General features: G+C 40.6%; 1 protein-coding gene across 2 annotated transcripts in view; it reads left to right on the top strand.

The window, feature by feature from the left end:
* Positions 1-26995, top strand: part of SLC25A12 (solute carrier family 25 member 12) — a 110840-nt gene that overhangs the window by 420 nt on the left and 83425 nt on the right. For both annotated transcript variants that reach the window (NR_047549.2, NM_003705.5), the window contains exons 2-3: positions 567-620; positions 25002-25144. Coding sequence is in view for 1 of the 2 variants with exons in the window: in NM_003705.5 (NP_003696.2) it covers positions 567-620; positions 25002-25144 (197 nt within the window). In the remaining variant the exon portion in view is untranslated. The remainder of the gene's footprint in view (positions 1-566; positions 621-25001; positions 25145-26995) is intronic.

The raw sequence follows: 26995 nt of genomic DNA, 5'->3' as shown, positions 1-26995 counted from the left end.
AGTAAGTATTGAGTAATTTGGGGCCTCAATAAGGCCGAGGGCAGTGGTTGGCTTTTGCGTTGCAGATTGCAGGGTATGGAAAGTATTTGTATTTGTGGCAGCTCTCATATTTTAGGTTGGATGGGGAGAGGGACGCGGAGATAATTACATGTTGGGTTTGCTTTTTATGGAGAAAGGCTGCTAGGCCAAGTGATTAATTTGGGTGATTTAACTTTCCTGTTGATCTACTCTTGTTAGCTTCTTGATTTGAAGGTGGGTGGTTACTACTGTGTTGCTAGTAGATGTGGAATAAAGTAAAAGATCCTCATTGCCTTCCCTTTCCAGTCCAGAGGAAGCACTGTCCGATAGCTTTGCTGTATCTTAGGCTATTCGCACCTGTTTTTCTGCCCTCTAGTCACAGTTATCCAGTTTGACAGTTCTTATCAGCAATTAGGGCTTTTAGTTTGTTTTAAACTAAATGATAAAAGATAGGAGCATTGATTGTTAGCCATGTGACCTCTAATCTGAAGAGATTGTGTGGTCTCTAGTGAAGCATTAACTGGCTTTTTTTTCTTTTTTGCTTACAGGTGCAGACAACTAAGCGAGGGGATCCTCATGAGTTAAGAAACATATTTCTACAGGTAAATTGGCTTGCATAGTGTGCCTTTCATTGCAAAAACAAAAAACGTACATGTCCTTAGTCCTATTCATGCCTTAACTTTGAGGAATGTTCAGTTTTCATGTATTCTTTCAAACATGACCGGACAATATAGCTTATACTTCTCTTAATAAGGTTTGATTTAAGGCCTTCTTTTAATTAAGGGTCGATAAAAGGTTTTCCTCAAGTTACTGCTTTTTTTTTTACATGACTTAAGATATATATTTTGAAAAAAAATTTCCAGCTTAAGCACAGAGACCAAGATAAAATTTCAAAATGTATTGGCATTCTTGTATAGTTAATAGGTATGATGACTAAAATTCTCTTCCTTGAAAGTTGCATGTTTACAAAGTTTTCCTACTTATGAGCTATCCTCCATGTAATTTGTTACAGAGATAAGAATATTATAGCTATTCTTAATTTGTGTGTCTTACTTACATTGTATCCTTAAGCCTTGGGGATTTTACCCCAAAATGTTACCTCTTAAGATTCTTGCAATGGTCTACCTTAACTTCTAAGCTTTTAGAATCAGTGACTTGGCTGTAGACTTAAAAAGAAAAGAAAAAAGAAAAAAAAAAGGTTGGCTTAGTTTTTTGTTTTGCTTTCTTTTCTTAAATTTCAAAAGTTTCCTATGCAGGAAATTGTACTTAAGAAGTAGATGTAGGCCGGGCGCGGTGGCTCACGCCTGTAATTCCAGTATTTTGGGAGGCCGAGGCGGGTGGACCATGAGGTCAGGAGATCGAGACCATCCTGGCTAACACGGTGAAACCCCGTCTCTACTAAAAATACAAAAAATTAGCCGGGCGTGGTGGTGGGCGCCTGTAGTCCCAGCTACTCGGGAGGCTGAGGCAGGAGAATGGCGTTAACCCGGGAAGCGGAGCTTGCAGTGAGTCGAGATCGTGCCACTGCACTCCAGCCTGGGGACAGAGAGACACTGTCTCAAAAAAAAAAAAAAGTAGATGTAAAGGGAGGCAAGCTAAGGTGTTTCACCAAATATTGCATTTCTCTCTGAAATCTTTTGAGAACTTTCTATTCTGGACCTGGGTTCTTATGAAGACACTTTGACCTTGGGCAGGTCCCTGCTGTGTATTATTTTCCTCTGTGAAATGAGAGGTGATCTCCAAGGTTCCTTCCCATTCCAAAAGTCTATGAGTCTATTTTAGGAACAGATTCTAACATATGCTGATGAGCCTGGAATAGATGACATTTTTATTTGAGATATGTGGTTTGCTTAAGCTATTGTTGGGTAAGACGCTGCGTAGTTGAGCATACATATGTGTAGTTTATGAAAAATAATTTGTGAAAATGGGAATCTTAAAGGTCATAATATCTGATAAGGGAAGTATTTTTTTCCAGAACAGAAGTAATTATAATAACAGAAATGGTCCATTTATGACTTGAAACCTTTATTCCTTGCAGGCATTCTTGAAAATAGCCAAAAATATATCGGTATTCACCATACCATGTGATTATAGTCAATTGTTTTGTGAAGAGTTCATGTGATATAGTTAATTTTATGTTCTAGACTAAGTAGATGCGGAAGAAATGAGTTGAAATGCTGCATGATGTAGTGAAAAGAATACTGCCTAGGTATCTGAGTACTGCCTAGGAATACGGAGTTAATTCCCAGCCCTGCATTTATCTGGTTCTTGTACCCTTAGGCTAATCATCTGGCCTTCCTGAGTTTCAGCTTCTCATGTGGGACTCAGTGGGACATAAAGGAATGGGAATTGAGGTCTTTCTAGCTTTAAAAATTCTATGGGAAAAAAATATACTGTGATTCTGTATGGATTTGTTTTTTGTTTTTGAGTGGGGGTAGAGGTGGGTTGGAGGTATGAGGAGAATGGCGAGGACTGTCCCTAGCTCTTTGACAACTTTTTTTTTTTTTTGAGATGGAGTCTCGCTCTGTCGCCCAGGCTGGAATGCACTGGCGTGATCTTGGCTCACTGCAACTTCTGCCTCCGGGGTTCAAGCAATTCTCTTGCCTCCGAGTAGCTGGGATTACAGGCATGTGCCACCACACCCGGCTAATTTTTTGTATTTTTAGTAGAGACAGGGTTTCACCATGTTAGCCAGGATGGTCTTGATCTCCTGACCTCGTGATCTGTGTGCCTCAGCCTCCCAAAGTGCTGGGATTACAGGCGTGAGCCACCATGCCTGGCCGATTCTTTGACAACTTTTAAATCTTAGCTTTTCATTTACTGTTTTGCATATCGTCATTATCTTTTTACACATTATTTTGATGATGCCTTTATTTTTATGTTGAAAATTTGTGGAATTCATAACTGCTTATTTAGCACTAAGTATGAAACATTGACACAAGCATTATTGATAGATAAGAGAGTGATAGAATGTAAATACTCACCTTCAGAAAGGCCTAACGCAGCAAGAAAGATAACAATATAGGCTGAGTGCAGTAGCTCACACCTGTAATCTCAGCACTTTGGGAGGCTGAGGCTAGAGGATCACTTGAGCCCAGGAGTTCAAGACCAACCTGAGCAATATAGTGAGACCTCGTCTCTGCAAAAAATTTTAAAAATTAGCCACACCTGGTGGCATCCATCTGTGGTCCCAGCTACTCAGGTGGCTGAGGTAGGAGGATTGCTTGATCCTAGGAGGCAGAGGTTGCAGTAAGCCAAGATCATACCACTGCACTCCAGCCTGGCAACAGAGCAAGACCTTGTTACACACACACACACACACACACACAGACACACACGATACAGTATTGCTAGTTGGATCAATTTGAGGATAGTTACCAAGTAAAAGATTTTTATTCCTGGCTTGAATACTTCAAACTATAGTTATTTGAAGCTTTGCAGTACTGTTTAGAAACAGTTTTATGAAACAGTTTTATAGATGCATATAGTTGATTAATATTTTAGCTATAATAGAAGACAAAAATACATGCTAACCGTGTATTTCTTTAGCACTTAACATATTTACCCAACAAATATTTACAAAGGATTATTTGCTGTGTACCATGCACTTTTATTCAATACAATACTGTTCAGTAGCAGACACCAAGTCGAATATCAAGAGAGACAACAGAGCCAAGACCTAAATGCTGATGGACATGTGATTGGACTAGCTGCTCTCTCAGGCCCATGCCATCTCTCATGGTTTGTGGTTGAGGGAATCAAGAATAGTGAAGGCAAATGCATAGCCTGTGGTAGAGCAATCAGATTGGCTTCTTACATCATAGTGGCTGTGTAATAATATTGACAATGGCTAACATTTATTGATCATTTAGAGTGTGCTTGAGATTGGCCTAGTGCTTTAAGGATATTAATGTTAGTTTTCATAACAACTTTATGAAGCAGGTTTAATATCCTTGTTACATAGATGAGGTTAAATTAATGTCAGACTATGTGGTAGAGCCAGATTCAAATCAAATTCCAGAGCCCATACCCTTAACCCTTACATAATACTACTGGTAGGATATTGAAATGGGGTGACTTTTGAAAGACAGAGGTATATCAGGGGATAATGGCAGAGTGTTAAGAAGTTAAAAAAAAATCTGGTTACTTAGGTGATGAAATTTAAAAAGTTTCTTTACACTGTAACTGTCTAGAATAGTTAGCCAAGGAATTTGGATTTGAAACAGTAGGGAGCCACTGTGGGTTTCTGAGTAGGCAAATTGAAGTGGTGAATTCTGGCAGCTTTTTGTGTATGTTGGATAAAGTATGAAGAGATTGGAAGTAGCTTAGGTGATAAGCTGAGAGGCTACTGAAGTAATACTTTTGAGAATTAATGACCTAGAGTGGTTGATGGCTGGGGAAATGAAAAGCAAGGACAATACCAGCGATGTAAGGGAAGAATCTATCGAATTTGGTATTAAATATGGAAGTAAGGGAAGAAGTAGAAGTGAACCTGTCAGTTTTAGGATAGGTGTTAATTGATAAGGCATCTATTTAGATAATATTTTTTGGGGGGATGGGGTTAGTTTGGTTGCTAAACAAATGTATCTCACTAAGTTAAAGTTGGATTTGGACAGATACAAATTTGTGCAGGTGGTAGATGAATTCCTTGTATATAAAGCAAGGCAGAGGATCAGGGGCTGATTTATAAGTGATATCTCCAATTGAAGTAGGAAGGAGGAGGAGGGGAAATAGGGAGAATGGTCCCATGAAAGTTTAAAGTAGGAGTTTCACAAGAAGGATATAATTAAAGGTTAAAATGTAGATTATTCTGTTATTAGTATGATTTAGTTTGGGGAGGATTTTGGGGTCACTTGAGTTTAGAATTATCTGAGCTACTTAAAGACTATAAAGAGATATAATTTTAAATTTTAGAGTACAGTTGAAAACTCTTTGTAAAATGTAGATCTGTGGCATTAACTGTTTAAGTTCACAAATAGTCAATAAAAATTCCTACTTTCAAATAAGAATATTTTGTTAAACTTTTGAGCCATGGGTCAAAAGTCATTTGTAAAACAATAAAATGGCCGGGTGTGGTGGCTCACACCTGTAATCCCAGCAATTTGGGAGGCTGAGGCGGGTGGATCACTTGAGGTCAGGAGTTTGAGACCAGCCTGGGCAACATGGTGAAACCCTGTCTCTATAAAAAATATAAAAAATTAGCCAGATGTGGTAGCGCACGCCTGTAATCTCAGCTACTAGGGAAGCTGAGGCAGGAGAATCGCTTGAACCCGGGAAGCGGGGGTTGCAGTGAGCCGAGATTGTGCCACTGCACTTCAGCCTGGGCGACAGAGCGAGACTCACTGTCTCAAAAAAAATAATAATTAAAAAAATATATATATATTTTTATTTGAAAGTACTGGTATATCAGCTGGGTGCGGCAGCTCATACCTGTAATCCCAGTGCTTTGCGAGGCTGAGGTGGGAGGATCACTTGAGGCCAGGAGTTCAAGACCAGCCTGGGCAACAAAGCGAGATTCCATGGCTACAAATATATGTATATAGATTTAGCTGGGTGCGGTGGTACATGCCTGTGGTCCTAGCTGCTCTGGAAGCTGAGATGGGAGGATCACTTGAGCCCAGAAGTTCGAGGTTACAATGAGTTATCATTATACCACTGCACTCCAGCATGGGTGACAGAACAAGACTTTGTCTCCAAAAAAAAAAAAAAAAAGGAAAAAAGAAAAGAAAGTGGCAACTGACTTATTTATGTATCTATGTTTAGTGAAATTGTATGAGAATTGGTGTGGGAGTTCATAAGAAGGGCTTTATAAGAGTAAAGCATTATTATTTTGAATATAGGGAAATAGGTTCATTTTTCCTGTGGTGTTCATTGCTTCTCAAGTTTTGATGAGCTATGTTTCTATTAGTTAAAAAACATCAACAACAACAGTATGCACTAAGATTCTGCCTTTTTCTGCCCACCTCCACTCTGCCAAGTTCATGAAATTGGAGTACAACAAATGAATTCTTATGTGTTAGGCTGTGCTGTAATTTTACAACTGGTTTAAGCTAAGATTTTACCATTACCACCCTTACAACTGTCATTTCTTGATTTATCCCTTTTTTCTTTTAACCTCTCTCACCCACACACTGTCATTGATTCAATTTAGCTACATCAGCAGTGTACAGTAGCAAAAGGAGACAATAGAAGCAGTGAAGAAGAAGGTGAGGTGGGACAGCAGGAACATAAGTCTGACAAATTTCTAAATGAAGAGTTAATTTTGTCTGTCCCTTGTGGCAAAGTAGATTTATCAAAAACATTTAAATGAATTATTTTTTAATCTCTCTCTCTTTTTAGTTAATAGGCTTCTTTTGTTTGCTGGTGTGTTGTATAGTAAAGGCAATATATGTTAAGACTGCAACTATATTTGCCAGATCAAAAATTTACTGAAATGTAGACCTCAAATATTATTTTAATTTTGTTCTTTTTTCATTATCACCAATGTAACAATGAAGATCGTATCCCATACAAAATTATGAAAATGTGCTTTTTTCCTGTCTTATTTTAGGTTAGAGAATAAAGAGGAGAAGATACTGTTAATGTAAAGCAAAGGGCGATTCCTCCTTAGGGTTTTTACAATAACATTTATTTTTAATAGAAAGATATGTTCTTTTATTCAAATAGTTTATGTATTTTATTTACTTATTTTTGACAGTAGCCTGGAGCTGAGAAGGGAATAAAGCAGGGCTTTTAGCAGGAGACCCTTACTCTTTGTTGAAATATACATTAGGGCTGTGTTTCCAAAAGTGTGGAAGGTATACCACAATATTAGAGTAACAATAAGATTATCAAGTATTAAAGGGTGATACAGTATTTGTGGAAACAAAGACTCTGAAAAGCAAGCTGGCAATGGTTTAAAATAAAAAGAAAATATCATTTGAACAAACAATGGTATTTTCTTTTGGATTATTTATCCCAGAGAAATAAAAATATTTGTAAAAATATAAGAATATAGGGCAAGATGTGGTGGCTCATGCCTGTAATCCCAGCACTTTGGGAGGCCAAGGTGGGCGGATCACAAGGTCAGGAGATTGAGACCATCCTGGCTAACATGGTGAAACCCTGTCTCTACAAAAAATACAAAAAAATTAGCCGGGCATGGTGGCGGGTGCCTGTAGTCCCAGCTACTCGGGAGGCTGAGGCAGGAGAATGGCGTGAACCTGGGAGGCTGAGGTTGCAGTGAGCCGAGATCGCGCCACTGCACTCCAGCCTGGGCGACAGAGCGAAACTCTGTCTCAAAACAAAAAAAAAAGAATATATATGTACAAGGTTAACTGCAGCACTGAATTTTTCCTCAAAAAAGAAAAAAAAAAAAAACAGCCTAGGCAACGTGGCAAAACCCCATCTCTACAAAAAATACAAAAACCTAGCTGGGTGTGGTGGTGGCATGAGCCTATAGTCCCAGTTACTTGGGAGGCTGAGGTGGGAGGATCACCTAAGCCTAGGAGGTTGAGGCTGCAGTGAGCCATGTGCACCACTGCACTCCAGCCTGAGTGACAGAGTGAGACTCTGTCTCAAAAAAAAAAAAAAAAAAGCTATTATATTAAAGAGGAGTGGTAGAAGACTTATGGAATAACTATACTATGAAAGTTATGCAGATACTAAAAAGAATGAGTTAGGCCTAGACCACCAATTTAGAGAAATTTTGCAATGTACTATTAAGTGAGAAAGATGCAAATAAGTATATATAGCATGATTCTGATTTGTAAAACAAAGTCATTTCATGTATGTTTACATATAATATGTTTGTGTATGATTTAATGAGCACTGAGAAAGTTATGAAAGGATAAATACTAGGTTGTTAACTTGAGGGAAGAATAAAGAGGAAAATAAAAATAGTCTCAATGTATATGTATTAAGCTTTGAGCAAGTGAGTAATTTAAAAAGTAAGAATTTAGCAATTCAGAGCCTGAAGCTACAAGAGGATTTCCCAGCATAATTTGGATTGAATAAACCCAGTATGAGACACACAGAAAAGGATCTATAGTTTTATTAACCATGCTATTATAATTGAGGGTTTTCACCAGTTCCTCAGAAATATGGAAATTGAAGATGATAACCTATTTATTTATTTATTTATTTATTTATTTATTGAGACAGAGTTTTACTGTGTTACCCAGACTGGAGTGCAGTGGCATGATCTTGGCTCACTGCAACCTCCGCCTCCCGGGTTCAAGCAATTCTCATGCCTCAGCTTCCTGAGTAGCTGGGATTACAGACACATGCCTAGCTAATTTTTGTGTTTTTAGTAGAGACAGGGTTTCACCATCTTGGTCAGGCTGGTCTCGAACTCCTGACCTCAGGTGATCCACCTGCCTCAGCCTCCCAAAGTGTTGGGATTACAGGCATGAGCCACCATGCCCAGCCTTTTCTAAATACTTTAGAAAGTATTTAACATAAACTATATAGAGTTCTCATTAAAAAAAAAAAGAACAGTATTAGGCATTAAAGGCAGACTAGCAGGATAGTGAGACTTTGTCCTTGAATCAAGCAGAAGGATTGAAAAATAATAAAAAGATAAGAAAATTAGTGTTATTAAATGCCATGTGATGTTCTACTACCAATCAATACACTTTTTTTTTTTTTTTGAGACGGAGTCTCTGGGCTCACTGCAAGCTCCGCCTCCCAGGTTCACGCCATTCTCCTGCCTCAGCCTCCCGAGTAGCTGGGACTACAGGCGCCCGCCACCACGCCCAGCTAATTTTTTGTATTTTTAGTAGAGACAGGGTTTCACCGTGTTAGCCAGGATGGTCTCAGTCTCCTGACTTTGTGATCCACCCTCCTCGGCCTCCCAAAGTGCTGGGATTATAGGCGTGAGCCACCGCACCTGGCCGATCAATACACTTTTAATTGCCTACTATGTACCAGGCTAAGCACTGTACTAGGTTCTACCTTTATAGAGATAAGATAGAGCTGTTTAGTGAGGGTAGGGACAATACAAAGGACCTCAGTGAAGGTAGAACCTCACATTCTTTTTTTTTTTTGGTGGGGGACAGAGTTTTGCTCTTGTTGCCCAGGCTGGAGTGCAATGGCGCAGTCTCAGCTCACTGCAACCACTGCATCCCAGGTTCAAGCAATTCTCCTGCCTCAGCCTCCTGAGTAGCTGGGATTACAGATGTGCACCACCACACCTGGCTAAATTTTTTTTGTATTTTTAGTAGAGATGGGGGTATCATCATGTTGGCCAGGCTGGTCTCGAACTCCTGACCTCAGGTGATGTACCTGCCTCGGCCTCCCAAAGTGCTGGGATTACAGATGAGAGCCACCATCCGTGCCCAGCCTAGAACCTAACATTCTAGGGGCGAGGTGGACAATTAAAAAAGCCCACAGAGCAGACCACGAGGTCAGGAGTTCGAGACCAGCCTGGACAACAAGGTGAAACCCCGTCTCTACTAAAAATACAAAAATTAGCCAGGCGTGGTGGCGGGCGCCTGTAATCCCAGCTACTTGGGAGGCTGAGGTGGGAGAATTGCTTGAACCCAGGAGGCAGAGGTTGCAGTGAGCCGAGATCGTGTCATTGCACTCCAGCCTGGGCGACAGAGGAAGACTCAGTCTCGGGGGGAAAAAAAAAAAAGCCCACAGATTGGCTGGGCACACTGGCTCATTCCTGTAATCCCACCTCTTTGGGAGGCTGAAGCAGGAGGATCACTTGAGGCCACTAGTTTGAGACCAGCCTGGCCAAAAAAGTGAGATTCTGTCTCTACAAAAAAAAAAAAAAAGATAAAAAAGAAAAGAAATTAGCCAGGCATGGTGGCCTGTGCTTGTAGTCCTAGCTACTAGGAAGGCTGAGGAAGGAAGATCATGTGAGCCCAGGAGTCTGAGGTTACAGTGAGCTAGGGTCATGCTACTGCACTCCAGCCTGGGTGATAGAGTAAGACCCTGTCTCTTAAAACAAAACAAAAAACAAAACAAACAAAAAAAAGCTTACTACAGATTGTGACACGTCCAAGGAAGTAAACAGAATAATGAGAAGGGCCATCATTTTTTAAATCATTTTTCAAGAGAGTGGTCAGTGAAGGGCCCTTAGGAGGCAATATTAAGAGCTGAGAACTAAAAGGGAATGAGGGTGAAGTGGTGGAGGGAATTCCAAAGGGCTCACACGTACAAAGCTTAGATATAGAAAAGGGTTTGATGTGTTCAACAAACAGAAAGGCCAGTGTGCCTGAAGCATTGGTAATTAAGTATGGGGGTAAATGGCCTCCCAAAGTACTGGGATTACAGGCGTGAGCCACTACGCCTGGCCGATTCTTTCAATTTAATGTCCTCCTGTCTATAGAGTTCCTAGAACATCTTGAGCTGGATGAAACTCCTTTTCATCCAGAGGGCAGCAGAGTGTACCTGGAGCCTACATGGGATTTGTAGTCTAACCTGGGTTTGAATCCTCATTTGAAACCTTTTGAGCTCAGGTGTTTACTTTTGGAGCCTGTTTTCTCATCTGTCTAAGAAGGGATAATGACACCTAGCACATAGGGATGTTCTAAAGATTAAATAAAATAACATGTAAACTATGCAGAACCAAATAAAGCTTAGTTCCTTGTCTCTTTCCTTCTCTTCTAAGTTGAGATTAGGATGTTTTGTTTGTTTCTTGAATAAGATCTGAGTCCCTTGTCTTCTCCAGATGACTATGCTGGACCTAGTCAAGAGACTAAGATGTTAATATGTATTTATGATTATGTACATATAATCAGTTAATTACTTACATTCTTGAGACATCCATCTGAAGTTATTGACAAATACCGATTTCTCTCAAGTCTATGAGGTTCTAAGATGTTGTATAGTCACAGTCTAAGGCTGGGAGACCCGAGAGACCATGGAAGATGTTTGCAGAGTTTTCTTCTGAAACTTCATTCGCTCAGTCTGGACGTGTAAAAGAATAACGGTCCAGCCATAGGCTCTGAAATCCCAAGACACAGACTTGAAAAAATACATATTTTTTTTTTGTGCGTAACTTTCTTTTTTAAAATCACCACCTCCCTGTTCTGTGCAGATTTCTCTTACTTAGTACTGTGGAAATTTCTGAAAGCATCTTCCACTGAAACCATTGCTATGGCCAGCGTTGGGTTTCTAGAACTGGAAGAAACACACATTTTGAAAATATTAGTCAGTACTATTTCAGTCTTCAGTGACAGGAATTTTGGTTAAACATGCGTAGGCTTAGAATGTACTGGCTCTAGCCATGAGTGGATCAGGAGCTTAACTGCTGTCACCAGGGATCATGCACCTTTCATCTCTTAGTTTTGGTTTCTGTTGTGCTAGCTTCATTCTCAAACAGGCTTTGCCATGTGGAGCATCCCCAGATTAAAATCCTACCCATTCAGCAGAGAAAAGGTACTGTTTCTCCAATTTCTAGGTTAAGTCTAGGAATTATTGTCCTCCCTAATACCCCAAGAAAACCCATGTACTAGAAGGAGGCAGTGTTCTCATTGGCCAGATCTGGTTCACATGCTCACCTCTGGAACTGTTCAGTTGAGTCAGCCCCATTTGAATGACCTGTGTAAATTGAGGGTGAGGGAGGTGTGTATGTTCAAGAAAAATTAGCATGCAGTTACCAGAAGGGGGGAAGGAAAGCTAGGCACATTAAAACCAAGAACTGTTTATGTATAGCATATAAGGGATTGGAAAACCTGGAAGCCTAGGGGTGACTCAGGGAGGCTGGGAGACAGAGATGGCAAGAGATTCTGTGCCTCCAAGTCAACACTGCTGTATTTGGTAGCTTTCTAGAACATTCCAGTGCAGCTGTCATACTATCTGCAAAAATACCTTAAGTGAAATGACAAAAAATAACCAAAATTAGGACCCCTGAAGAAGAAATGTATCCTCACCTCATTTTTTCTTCAGAAAAATTTTTTCTCTCAGTCTTCTTTCTAGTCTTTTTCTTATGGTGGTCTTCCTCTCCCCATCTTCTTTTCTGTCCTTACCCTACCCCTCCCATCCCATGGCTCATTATTTTCAGCAGATCTGTTCAACACAGATTGCTATTGATTGTCCTACAAAGAGCCAGGTACTGTGCAAGGTGCTAGAGGTATGAGGATGAATAAGGTATCCCTGTTTTTAAAGGACTCATAGCCTAGAGCTGCTTAAATTACACATCCCTACATTAATACTTTTTTAAAAAAATAGAACATTCTGTATAAAGCTGAAGGCTTGAAGTCCTTCCTGAGCTCTACCCCAAAAGCCAATACTTCTGAAGGCTTGAAGTCCTTCCTGAGCTCTACCCCAAAAGCCAATAATTCCCTGCCACCTAAGAGGTAACCACTGTTCTTGGTCGTGTTTCTTTCTGATCTTTCCCCATACATTTACACAGAAAATATGGGGTTTTGGCCGGGCGCGATGGCCTGTAATCCTAGCACTTTGGGAGGCCGAGGCGGCTGGATCACCTGAGGTTAGGAGTTCAAGACCAGCCTGGCCCACATGGTGAAACCCCATCTCTACTAAAATACAAAAATTAGCCAGGCATGATGGCGGATGCCTGTAATCTCAACTGCTCGGGAGGCTGAGATGGGAGAATCGCTTGAACCTGGGAGATGGTGGTTGCAGTGAGCTGAGATCACACCACTCCACTCCAGCCTGGGTGGCTGAGTGAGACTCCGTCTCAACAACAACAACAACAACAACAAAAAAAGAAAATATGGGGTTTTGTGGTTTTAAAAAACATAAATAATAATAGCTAATGCTTACTGTGTCACTGTTATGTATCAGGCACTATTTTAAGTATTTTATATAAATCATCATATTTAATCCTCAGAACAACTCTATAAGGTAGGAACGATTAGTATTCCCATTTTACAGATGAGGAAACTAAGCCCCAGAAAGGTTAAGTAGCTTGTTCAAGGATATACAGTAAACGGAGGAGCTTTGCTTTATATATTTTAATACAATTCGCCTTTTTTACTTAATATTATTTGGAGATACAGGTATGTTAGTGTGTAAAGAATTGTTTCATTATTTTTCTGTAGCCCTTTAAATAACTTTGTTATGAAAAATTTCAAACATATACAAATCTAGAGAAAATAGAATAATGATGGATACCATGGATGACTAGAGGGAGAAAGGAAGGAGGGGAACAGGGTGGAAAAACTATTGGGAACTATGCAAACTCTCTGGCTGATGGGATCATTTGTACCCCAAACCTCAGCATCACACAGTATTCCCTTGTAACAAACCCACACATGTACCCTCTTAATCTAAAATATGAATTGAGGCTCATGCCTGTAATCCCAGCACTTTCGAAGGCTGAGGTGGGTGGCTCACTTGAGGTCAGGAGTTCGAGGCCAGCCTGGCCAACATGGTAAAACCCCGCCTCTACTAAAAATACAAAAATTAGCGTGGTGGTGCATGCCTGTAATCCCAGCTACTAGGGAGACTGAGGCAGGAGAATCACTTGAACCTGGGAGGTGGAGGTTGCAGTGAGCCAAGGTCACGCCACTGCACTCCAGCCTGGGTGACAGAGGGAGACTCCATCTCAAAAAAATAAAATATGATTTGAAATTATTTTTTAAAAAGTTTGTTGTAATTCTAACTGAATTAATAAACTTTAAAATTCATACAAAAAAAGAGAAAATGGTATAATGAATCACCATATATCTGTCATTCCAGTGTCACCAATTATCATGGCTAACCTTGCTTCATCTGTATTACAGCCACAGTGGCTTATTTTGAAGCAGTTCTCAGACATCATCTTGCAGTATCCATAAATAGTTCAGTATGTAGCTCCTAAAGATAAACACTCTGAAAAACTAACCAAATCATAACACCATTATCACACCTAAAAAAAGTCTTATCATCAATTTCTTTTGAGTGTCGAAGTTCTCTGATTGTTTCATATATTTTTAAGTAGCTTTGTTAAAAAGCAGGATCCAAGCTAGATTCATACATTGCATTTGGTTGATCTGTTTCTTAGATCTTTTAATACTTTCTGCACCCTGCTATGTTAAAGGTCCTTATTTCTCTTTGGTAAAAATCTTGGTATTTAATCAAGGCTTATCAACATTAAGGCATTCCATCCCCCTAGGAGCAGCACCTTGATTGTCAAAGCGACATGATTTGCCCAAGCTTATACATATATATGCTTCTTGTATGTTCCCATGGTTACTTAGACTAAGAGACTAAAGTATTTATTTAAGGAATGATGCAAATTAATTATTCAACTTAATCTGCCTTGGGAAGCATTCTAGTTCCAGTTATTGGGTTCTTTGGGTCATTATTTTATTTCCAAGGTTTTTGGTTATTTTGAGTGGAAAATTGTTTTGGTAGATCTTCTTTATTATGGTAGCTTCAATTGATTTCATTGATTAATAAGGGTCTTTACCTCCCTGCTGTGTTAGAAATTGCATCATTCAGTAGCTGACAGTAGGGCTTACTATAGTGGACAGTGAAAATATATTAAAACAACAACAAAAATAAGCACATAGTATTCATGGAAGCAATCTGAGTTAGGAAGACAGAGCACTGAATAATATTTTTTTAGCAAAATCAGTAAAAGGTTTTGTTTCTAGTATATCCAAAATATGCAACTGAAAGTGCTAATCAAAATTAGATTTATACAACTGCTTTTCCCTAATGCTCATGTAGTTGATTTGAGTAACATTGGAAAAATTTTACATTACTAATTAAAATCCTTGTTTTTAAAAATTAATATGGCTTAATAAAGTTGTTAAAAAATCAAACTGGCCATATGTATTTAAAATAATTTTTTTCTTATAAAGTATTATTTATGATAGAATGCTCTTTTATTCTAATTGAACTAACATAATAAGGCAAATTACACATTGTACTGTTTAACAGGGTTTGTGTGTCAGATCTGCTGTGGTCTTTGCTCCTTATGTAGAGTGCTTGTGTAGTGAAAGGGCATGCATTCCTGACTAAATTTGGCTTCTGTTGGAAGTAAGAGCCATAATAGTGAAGGACAGTAAGAGAACTAGCTTCATATACTCAGTACTTGCCTTGGTACATATTGTCCTCTTTTATTGTTCAAATAATTCATTTTTCTATGTGGGAAATGCTCTATGAGATATCTGTAGTTACTAAACTTCATGATATTGTCATTTGAATTACTGAAATTGAAAGGATGTTAAGATCTGAAAATGTCAGTTCATCTCAGTTGGAACAAAGTAATGGAGGAACAGTTTGTTTTGACTCATATTACAGCCACATGTTGGTTAGACAGAGATAAAGCTGCCTAGACCAGTCAGGACCGATCTCGTGGTAAGCCCAGGAATACTGGAAGCCAACCCAGGGAAACTCTGGCTTGGAGAGAGATGAAAGGTTAGAACAATAATTTCTTCATGTTTGGGCAAAAGCAGAAGAATTCACTAAGCAAGGAGGGAAATAGAGATCCTATGCTTTTCTGTTTCTAAGCATTTTACAGTAACTATTTCAAGTTATATTTTACAATTTTGAAGTACTTTGGTGTTCAAGGTGTCATTTTTGCCTCACAATAGGACAGCAATTTTTCTGCAAACCCTTGTTAAAGAAGAGACTCCAAGAATCTGCATGTTTTGCCCAAAAATTCTTGAGTTAATGGCACAGGAGTTTAGAACCCAAGTTTTCTGACCCAGTTTTAGTGTCCGTCGTGCCATCATCTCTGAGCTACTTGACAGCAGGCACTATGTCTTGTTGATCTCTGCATCCCCAGTACCAGGCACCAGGCATAGTGCCTGGTACACAGTTTCAAAATGAATGCAAAATAACCTGAAAGATTTGATCTCAGCAGATTTTTGGCTTAAAAAGCAGTGTTTCTAGATATATTGCCTTAGTTTTGATGTGCATACTTCAAAAATCCTTAATCTTGATACACCATATAATTTTTTAAAAGTAACCAGTTTTCTAGTCACAACACATCAGAATTTTTCTTTATAGTCTCTGGAATATCTTTTAGAGATATAAAACATCAAAGGATCTGTTTATGAACTTAAACTATTTAAACAAGTAATTTGTATCATTTAGAGTGTTTGGGCTTTATGCTCATTCAAATCATTGAATTTTAAGTTAACCTTTTTTTCTTAGTGGAAATTTAGGGTTGTGTGTCAGTCTTTGTAATGTGTAGTTAATATAATAATATAGGTTGCATACATCCTTTTTTTTTTTTTTTTTCCTGGGATGGAGTCTTCTTCTGGTCGCCCAGGCTGGAGTGCAGTGAGTGGCACGATCTCGGCTTACTGCAACCTCCGCCTCCTGGGTTCAAGTGATTCTCCTGCCTCCGCCTCTCGAGTAGCTGGGATTGAAGGCACCCACCATCAGGCCTGGCTAATTTTTGTATTTTTAGTAGAGATGGGGTTTCGCTATGTTGGCCAGGCTGGTCTCAAACTCCTGAGCTCGTGATCCACCCGCCTCGGCCTCCCAAAGTGCTGGGATTACAGGTGTGAGCCACCGTGCCCAGCCGGTTGCATACATCCTAAAGGTCACTTAAGGTTAAATTTGGTAAATTGCAAAGGAGTTATTGCTATCCAGTTTATTCCAGTCAGTTGAAGCCTTGGTATGTTGATCTGTTGGCTTGGTAGGCAAAACATTTTTAAATGGCATGATCTTCTCATTTGGAGCTAGAGATAGTTCAGTGTAATTATGATACACATCTGTATGTGAAACCCTGCCATCTTTTATAGACAATAATTTTGATTAAATGTATGAGGATTCTAATCTCATGAGATCTATTTTATTTCTTAAGCTTTAGAATGTTAAGGCTTTCCTGAGCACATGCTAACTATACTCAATGTAAATTTAAATATTTCTGGAAATGTCAAAGCTGTATGTTCTTTTACATTTCAAATACTTGAGTTGGGCTTGGAAAAAGTTTAATCAAGAAAATGGACCAGCTATTTCAGATACATTTCAGATACTGTCAGCTACTTTATGTCAATGTCTTCCATGTGTCCTTGACTTCTTGCCCCAGAGGGATATACAACTGCTTAAGAGATATCTTTGAAATGGCAAATGATAAACTCTAAAGTTACTTGGAGTATAGACATACTTGGGTAATTTCATCTAAAGTCATTTTAGTTCATCCTTTGAAAACACAGGAACAAAATGAAAATTATATTATGAAACTATTAAATTGCTTGCTATACTAAGTGTGTATGTGTGTGTGGGGGGGCAACCTAGTGGGACCCCCATCTTTACAAAAAAATAAAAACTGAAAAACTTAGCTGAGCATGGTGGCACGTACCTGTGGTCCCAGCTACTCAGGAGGCTGAGGTGGGAGGATCACTTGAGTCCCCCCCCCCCCAAAAAAAAAAAACCCAAACCCCTGATTTAAATATATCACCAATTTTTGAGGTACCAGCTTTTCTTTGTTAGCATAATACCTAAAATATTTTAGCATTTTTGACTGACTGTGGGTAGATAGATTCTAGTTTCAGATCTAAACTCCCTCTTTGGTTGTGTTGTTCAGGCAACAGGCTTACAGACATTGCCAAGTAATTGTCTCTAATTTAATGAGTTAATTAGTTAACTGTCTCCTGTAGAAGTCAAGTACTGACTTCTTATGGATGGGAGAAAACTTATGCTTTTTTCCTCTAAGCTATACACTCTATCTTTCAGTTAAAATTAAGTTAAAATAGAGTAGGAGAGCTGGAGAAAACACTGGCAAAATACCTCAGGGTAAGTGGTTCTTTGGCATCATTTATAACCCCAGATACTGGCAAAGCCTGTTTCAGTACATGTCAACTAAAGCATTTGTTTTCTTTGTTAGCCGCTGTGTCCTTTGTGGTTTGTGCTAAGGCTGCTCTATTTCCTGATAGTTTTAAAGTCAAGAATGTTGACATCTTGGCGATTCCATATATACAGTATACTTTAAAAATTTTTAAATGTTAGATTCAAAAGGCCCATGTGCAGGTTTCTTTTTTTTTTTTTTTTTTTTGAGACAGAGTCTTGCGCTCGCCCAGGCTGTGGTGCAGTGGCGCAATCTTGGCTCACTGCAAGCTCCGCCGCCCGGGTTAACACCATTCTCTTGCCTCAGCCTCCCGAGTAGCGGGGACTACAGGCGCCCGCCACCACACCCAGCTAATTTTTTGTATTTTTAGTAGAGACGGGGTTTCACCATGTTAGCCAGGATGGTCTCGATCTCCTGACCTCGTGATCCACCCGTCTCCGCCTCCCAAAGTGCTGAGATTACAGGTGTGAGCCACCGCGCCCGGCCCCCATGTGCAGGTTTCTTACAAAGGTATGTTGTGTGATGCTGAGGTTTGGACTTCTGTTGATCCTGTCATCCAGATAGTGAACATGGTACCAAACAGGAATTTTTTCACCCCTTGCCCTTTCTCTCTCTCCCCGCTCTAATAGTCCCCAGTATCTATTGTTCCTGTCTTTATGTCCATGTGTACCTGTAACAGGTAGAGGGTCTTGACTGCAAGTTGTACAGGTTCTTGGCATTTTGAACAGAGTTGGACAAAACGCCCAGCAAAGCAAGGAAAGAATGAAGCAATGAAAGAACGAAAGCAGGAATTTATTGAAAATGAAAGTACACTCCACAGTGTGGGAGCCAATGAGCAGCGGATTAAGGGCCTGGATACAGAAACTTCTCGCGTCCAAATACTTCCTAGAGGTTCCCCATTGGCCACTTGGTGCTTACCTCATGTAAATGAAGTGGTGGCCCGCAATTGGTCTGATTGGTTGCGGAAAGCAACCTATCAGAGGCTGAAGTGAAGTTATAAAGGTCACACTCCCGTACAAACATCTGATTGGTTGCGGAAAGCAACCAATCAGAGGCTAAGGGAAAGTTACAACGTTGTATTTCTATGCAAAGGAAGAGTCTGCCTGCAGTCGGTCTGATTGCGAACAGCCAATTTCCCATCTGCCGTGGAGAAAAGGGGGTTTGCGAAGGGAGTAGCCTCAGGTCCTTTTGTTACTTAGGTGTGGAAAGTTAGGGTTTTCCTTTCAATTTAGTTCTAGGAAGTTGGTGTGAAATGGCCTCCAGACCCTGTTCTCCTGCCTCATACCCAATATTTAATTCCCACTTTTAAAAGAGAACATGTGATATTTGATTTTCTGTTTCTGCATTAATTCTGCTTAGGATAATGGCCTCCAGCTGCATCCACATTGTTGCAAAGGACATGATTCCAGTCTTTTTTATGGCTGCATAGTATTCTATGAAGTAGATGCCATACAGAACGCTTGTATTGTGTGTTTGTGTTTTTTATTTAGTGGTTGTAGTCCTGGAGGTCAAATTCAGATATTAGAGAATAGACACCTCTGTGGCAAAAAGAACAATTGTTGCCAAATTTTCTTAATACAAAATCTCTGAAATGTTTTCATGTGCTCCCCCCTCTTTTATCATCTGTTAATGAAACAAAGAAGCAACACAAGCAGTTGTGAAGAGCGAGAACAAAGATCACCATAATCCCATTTCTAGTATTTTCTTTTTTCTTTTTTTAAATTTGAGATGGAGTTCTGCTCTTGTCACCCAGGCTGGAGTGCATTGGTGCAATCTCGGCTCACTGCAACCTCTGCCTCCCGGGTTCAAGAGGTTCTCTTGTCTCAGCATCCCGAGTAGCTGGGATTACAGGCACCTGCCACCACGCCCAACTAATTATTATTATTTTTTTGAGACAGAATTTTACTCTTGTTTCCCAGGCTGGAGTGTAATGGTGCGATCTCGGCTCACCGCAACCTCCGCCTCCCGGGTTCAAGCGACTCTCCTGCCTCAGCCTTCCGAGTAGCTGGGATTATAGGCATGCGCCACCACACCCGTCTAATTTTGTATTTTTAGTAGAGATGGGGTTTCTCCATGTTGGTCAGGCTGGTCTCGAACTCCCGGACCTCAGGTGATCCCCCTACCTCAGCCTCCCAAAGTGCTGGGATTACAGGCTTGAGCCACCGCGCCTGGCCAGGATTCGAGCATTTTTATGATTATATATAATGTATACTTGTGTGTATGTACCTATATATTGCTAAATTTCTTTTCAAAAGGACTGAATTCGACAAAAGCAAGATGTATAGGACGGTATAAATAGTATGCTATCATTTATATAAAAAGAAATGGTAAGAATTTCATATATACACACATATATTTGGATGTATATATATTAACATTATATATATAATTTACTTGTTTATGGATAAAACATCTCTAGAAGGATACATAAGAAATCGATTGCCTCTGGGGTGGGTAATTGAGTGATTGGGAACAGAAGTAGGAGGAAGACTTTCCACTGTATATTCTTTGGTACCTTCTGAATTTTGAATGGTATGAATGTAATACTATTAAAATAATAAAAAACCATTAGCAATAGGTAAAAGTACCCACTGTCTTCTTTTTCATGCCCACTGTGTTGGTTCAGGCCTCAAGCTGTTTCACCTGTATCTTTTATTTATTTATTTTTTTGAGATGGAGTCTTGCTCTGTCGCACAGGCTGGAGTGCAGTGGTGCTATCTTGGGTCACTGCAACCTCCGCCTCCCAGGTTCAAGCAATTCTCTTGCCTCAGCCTCACCAGTAGTTGGGTCTACAGGTGCGTGCCACCACACCTAGCTAATTTTTTGTATTTTTAGTAGAGATGGGGTTTCACCGTGTTAGCCAGGATGGCCTCGATCTCCTGACCTCGTGATCTGCCTGCCTCAGCCTCCCAAAGTGCTGGGATTACAGGTGTGAGCCACTGCATCCGGCCCTCCCCTGTATCTTTGTAATAGCCACTTACCAGTCTCCCTGTTCGAAGTTAGTTCTTCTCTCCTTCACTCACCTTTTATGTTGCCATCAAGGATAGCACAGATCAGGTATGTCTCTCCTTTCTTCTTAAACTTTTAGTAGTATCCCACAGCTCGCAGAATAAAGTTCAGACTCTTCTGTTTAGCATTCAAAGTCTTCTACCATTTGGTTTCAAACTGCCTTTTCTACTACATGTATTAGTATACGCTCTCTTTATTACCATTTCTCTCTCCAACTAAGCCTTCTCCCAGAAAAGAAAAAAAAAGGGGGGGTATTTTTTGTTTCAACTTTGTTCACATTAGATTTTTGTGTTTTTGTTTTGTTTTGTTTTTGTTTTTAGCTTGAAATACCCATTCTCTCCACTTGCAATTGAAATTGGATTTAACTTTTAAGGTCCATTCCAAGTGTTGCCTTTCTCCCTCCATTCCCTGGCCCCATCCCACCAGTCCTAAGAATGAATCACTCCTTTTTGGTTCCCATAGTATATTTCTCATACCATTGTTTGCAACCCATATTCTAGTTACTGGTGGATGGAACTGGTAACAGGAACTAGTAATTGACTAGTAACTAACTTGTCAGTCTCCTTACATTCTGTTTTTAGACTTCCTTGTATCCATCCTTCTTTCCAGTTGCAGCGGTCTTCCTCATATTGTGCCTTTCCTCACTCCTGCCTATTCTTAACTCTAGTGGTTTTGTGATCTTGGTGGAACATGTCCAATTATCTCGTACATATTAAGAATAAGGAAGAAAAGCAATTGACAGGAATTGATGGAATCTACTTACTATTAGTGTAAATACCTTACAGTTTGCTTTTTCTTTATCCTATGTTTATATACTTATTGTTTTGAAACTTATTGTTTTCTTTATCCTGTGTTTATATATTTATTGTTTTGAAATTTCAAAGATTATTTTGTCTTCATTGTGTAAGTGTGTGAAATATCTAGAGGCCTGGGAGGACAATAAACTTGTCTAGGGACTCACAAAGGGTTAGTGGTAGAGCCAAGGTTTAAACCCAAAACCCCTTCAAGAATGGCTTTTATAGTCATGTATAGAGAACATGACTTTATTTTGGGGTGATATTTCTTGAATGCTTTTGGTAGCACCAATTAGTTAAAAAAAAAGTCCATATTGGGCTACGTCTTTTTATTTTTGTTCTATAGCACAAGTCATCAAGCAACCCCTGGGCTACTTTTTTTTTTTTTTTTTTTTTGAGACAGGGTCTTGCTCTGTCTCCCAAGCTGGAGTGCAGTGGTGCAATCTTGGCTCATTGCAACCTCCGCCTCCCAGGTTCAAGTGATTCTCCCACCTCTCAAATGCTTTGAATGCTAAACAGAAGAGTCTGAACTTTATTCTGCAAGCCATGGAACAATACTAAAAGTTTTAGAAGAAAGGAGAGACATAATCTGATCTGTGCTATTCCTGATGGCAACATGGAAGGTGAGTGGAGGAGAGAGGAACTAACTTGGGACAGGGAAACTAGGAAGTCGCTATTACAAAGATACAGGTGAGGGCCCGGCACGGTGGCTCACACCTGTAATCCCGGCACTTTGGGAGGCCGAGGCAGGTGGATCACGAGGTCAGGAGATCAAGACCATCCTGGCCTAACACGGTGAAACCCGTCTCTACTAAAAATACAAATTCAAGTGATTCTCCCATTCCTCTCAGTCTCCCAGGTAGATGTGACTAAAGGCGCATGCCACCATGCTTGGATAATTTTTGTATTTTTAGTAGAGATGGCATTTCACCATGTTGTTCAGGCTGGCCTCGAACTCTTGACTTCAAGTGATCTGGCCGCCTTGGCATCCCAAAGTGTTGGGATTACAGGCGTGAGCCACTGCGCCCGGCCACTGGGTTACTTCTTATGCAGGCTGATATAGCACTTGTGGTGGTAGTCTCTGTGGCTTTTTTTGTTTGTTTTTTGTTCTTTTGGACAGGGTCTTGCTCTGTCACTCAGACTGGAGTGTGGTGGCACAATCATGGCTCACTGTAGTCTCGACCTCCCAAGTTCCAGTGATCCTCCCTCCTCAGCATCCTGCATAGCTGGGAGTACAGGTGTGCACCACCATGCCCAGCTACTTTTCTAATTTTTTGTAGAGACCTGGTCTCTCCATGTTGCCCAGGCTGGAACTCCTGAGCTCAAGGGATCCTCCTGCCTTGGCCTCCCAAAGTACTGGGATTACAGGTGTGAGCCACTGTGCCTGGCCTAACTCTTTTCTTATTGAAAGAACAGGTGGCTTTGTTTAGTCAGATCCACAAATGGAGATGTTTGCAACACTTGACTAGAAAGCAAACCAACAATCATTTGCCCTGATTCTTCTTCCCTGTCTTGTTTCCTAGAAGCAACCACTTGTAACTCTTTTAGCTATTTCATTTGGTATTTCCCTTCACATTTCTATATTGATATTTCTAGACATTTTTGACTTTCTGTAATAGTAGCTGAGGTCTTAGCTTCCTTGTACTACTTCCTCTCACATTCCTGTCAGTATATTTATAATTTTATTTTTTTTTGAAACAGGGTCTTGCTCTGTTGCCCAGGCTGGAGTACAGTGGCATGATCACTGCTCACTGCAACCTCCACCTCCTAGGCTCAAGCAATCCTCCCAGCTCAGCCTCCTGAGTAGTTAGGACTATAGGCACGTGACATCATGCCCAGCTAATTTGTGTATTTTTGTAGAGATGGGGTTTTGCCATGTTGCCCAGGCTGGTCTTGAACTCCTGGGCTCAAGCAGTTGCCCGCCTTGGCCTCCCCAAGTGCTGGAATTACAGGTGTGAGCCACTGCACCTGTCCTATTTATAATTTTTATTAAATTAATATTTGATGTCTATATTATTATGACTATAAATACTGTTTATTTTGAGCCAAGTCATGGATTATGATATTTTCTATTTTTGTACAATTAAAGTAATTTCTCATAGTTAAAAATTACCAAACTTTTGATTTGCCTAGTTATTTGTGTACCTATTACCAATTCATTCATTTGCCAAATATTTACTGAGTGCCTACTATAAGCCAGGCATCATTCTTGGTGTTTGGGATATATTAGTAAACAAATTAGACAAAGATTCTTTCCCTTGTGACACATTCTAATTGGGAGATAGACAATAAACATAAGAAGTAGAATATAAAGTATGTTAGAAAGAGGTGCTGAGGGAAAAAAAAGCAGGACTGTTGAGGAGCATGATGCCCTTAATTCATGATTCTTTATATGTGACCTGGTTTTTCTCTCTGAAAACTTGTAGAATTTTCACTTCATTTGGATGTTCTGCAATTTAACGATGATGGGCCAGGCCCTAGTGTAGATGTTCGCTTTAATTTTTCATGCTTGACATTTTGTGAGCCCTTGTATTCTTCAGTTCTGATCTTACTGCTTTGTTGGTTGACTGAAGTAACAATCAATCTGATGCAACTCAAGGAGAAGGGCTTTGGTTGTTCATGTTTGGTCATCCCATAGTATATAAAGCCCTTAAATTAATGAGTTTCTTTGATACAGGTATTATTATTATTTTATTTAAAAAAATTATTGATGTAAAAAATTACTGATGTCAAAGAATATTTTAATTTATTTCCTATTTCTGGCTACTGGAACTTGGAATGATGAGAGGTCTTGTTTGTTATTCTTTTCTCATTCATTTCACTTCTAAGGTTTGGCAGATTACGTGTCTCCCTGGTGCTCTTGTAGACAGGAAGCCTCTGGGAGTCACTTTCAGGTCCTGGCTGCCCTTTCACTTTTCTTAGTCTTTTCATATCTTTTATCTTACCAATATATGTATTTTTAATTGAGATAAAATTCACATAATGTAAAATTCACCATTTTAACGTATACAATTCAGTGTTTTTTAAAAAAGTATATTTACCATGTTGTATGATGTTACCACTATCTAATTCCAGAACATTTTCATCATCCCCAAAGAGAAATCTGATAACCAGTAAGCAGTTAACTCCCATTCCCCCTCTCCTTTCAGCTCCTGGCAACCAATATTCTGCTTTCTGATTCTATGGTCTTGCCTATTGTGGACATGCCACTTAATAGTATCACATAATATATGGCCTTTAGTGTCTGTCTTCTTTCACTTATCATAATGTTTTCAAGGTTCCTACATGTTGTGCATGTATTAGTACTATAAAATGTTTTTAAATCAGGCTCTGAATATTTGATTTTTCGGTATCCAGAGAAAAATTCTGCATTTATTATCTTTATTTTGATTTTAATACTGGCCTTTAATTTACCTTTTCACAAACCATTTATTGGATATAAAATGATATTGGATAATTTTTCAGTATGCATTATTTATTTATTTTTTTAGTATGCCAGTACTGAGGTTGATGGAGAGCGTTATATGACCCCAGAAGACTTTGTTCAGCGCTATCTTGGACTGTATAATGATCCAAATAGTAACCCAAAGATCGTGCAGCTCTTGGCAGGAGTAGCTGATCAAACCAAGGATGGGTAAGTATCTTCATGCATTTTCTGAAAACTAATGTTCTGGAATATATTGTTAAAAATTTAAAAAACCAGCTGGGCACAGTGGCTCATGCCTGTAATCCCAGCGCTTTGGAAGGCTGAGGCGGGCGGATCACCTGAGGTCGGGAGTTTGAGACCAGCCTGACCAACATGGAGAAACCCTGTCTCTACTAAAAATACAAAATTAGCTGGGCATGGTGGCCCATGCCTGTAATCCCCAGCTACTCGGGAGGCTGAGGGAGGAGAATCGCTTGAATCCGGGAGGTGGAGGTTGTGGTGCGCCGAGATCGAGCTGCTGCACTTCAGCCTGGGCAACCAGAGCGAAACTCTGTCTCAAAAAAAAAAAAAAAAAAATTAAAAAACCCACAAACTTACCTACGGGTATCTAGAATTTTAATATTAGTAAACATGTAATTAGTAATTACCAAGTTGCTCATTAGTAATTAGAAAATATGTTTTTAAAATAAATATATTATTATTATATTTTGGGGATACATAAATCATTATGAAAAATGTATTCAGGCTGGGCGCGGTGGCTCACGCCTGTGATCCCAGCACTTTGGGAGGCCAAGTGGGTGGATCACGAGGTCAGGAGATTGAGACCATCCCGGCTAACATGGTGAAACCCCATCTCTACTAAAAAAAATACAAAAATTAGCCAGACACGGTGACGGGCGCCTGTAGTCCCAGCTACTTGGGAGCCTGAGATAGGAGAATGTCATGAACCCAGGAGGCAGAGCTTGCAGTGCGCCGAGATTGCGCCACTGCACTCTAGCCTGGGCAACAGAGCGAGGCTCCATCTCAGAAAAATGTATTTAAAAAAAATTTTGTTGTTTTTAAATCAAGGTGTAGCACTGCTGCATCAATATTAATCCAATGTTAAAAAACAGAGGAGCTGCAAAGAGCTAAGGCAATAAATACTGGCATCCTATATTTAAAGCATCTTGTAGGGTAGCTCTGTGACTTACGGGTTAGTGTAATGGTCTTAAAAAAGAGATTAGGCGCTCTCCCTCTCCCTCTCCCTCTCCCCACGGTCTCCCTCTCCCTCTCTTTCCATGGTCTCCCTCTGATGCCGAGCCGAAGCTGGACTGTACTGCTGCCATCTCGGCTCACTGCAACCTCCCTGCCTGATTCTCCTGCCTCAGCCTGCGATTGCAGGCGCACGCCGCCACACCTGACTGGTTTTCGTATTTTTTTGGTGGAGACGGGGTTTCGCTGTGTTGGCCGGGCTGGTCTCCAGCTCCTAACCGCGAGTGATCCGCCAGCCTTGGCCTCCCGAGGTGCTGGGATTGCAGACCGAGTCTGGTTCACTCAGTGCTCAATGGTGCCCAGGCTGGAGTGCAGTGGTGTGATCTCGGCTCGCTACAACCTCCACCTCCCAGCCGCCTGCCTTGGCCTCCCAAAGTGCCGAGATTGCAGCCTCTGCCCGGCCGCCACCCCGTCTGGGAAGTGAGGAGCGTCTCTGCCTGGCCGCCCATCGTCTGGGACGTGAGGAGCCCCTCTGCCTGGCTGCCCAGTCTGGAAAGTGAGGAGCGTCTCTGCCCGGCCGCCATCCCATCTAGGAAGTGAGGAGCGTCTCTGCCCGGCCGCCCATCGTCTGAGATGTGGGGAGCGCCTCTGCCCCACCGCCCCGTCTGGGATGTGAGGAGCGCCTCTGCCCAGCCGCGACCCCGTCTGGGAGGTGAGGAGCGTCTCTGCCTGGCCGCCCCATCAGAGAAGTGAGGAGACCCTCCGCCTGGCAACTGCCCCGTCTGAGAAGTGAGGAGCCCCTCCGCCCGGCAGCCGCCCCGTCTGGGAAGTGAGGAGCGTCTCCGCCCGGCAGCCACCCCGTCCGGG

The sequence above is a fragment of the Homo sapiens genome, chromosome 2, assembly GCF_000001405.40.
Source record: "Homo sapiens chromosome 2, GRCh38.p14 Primary Assembly".
Taxonomy (NCBI): Eukaryota; Metazoa; Chordata; class Mammalia; order Primates; family Hominidae; genus Homo; species Homo sapiens.
This window is presented reverse-complemented; position numbering and strand designations above follow the sequence as displayed.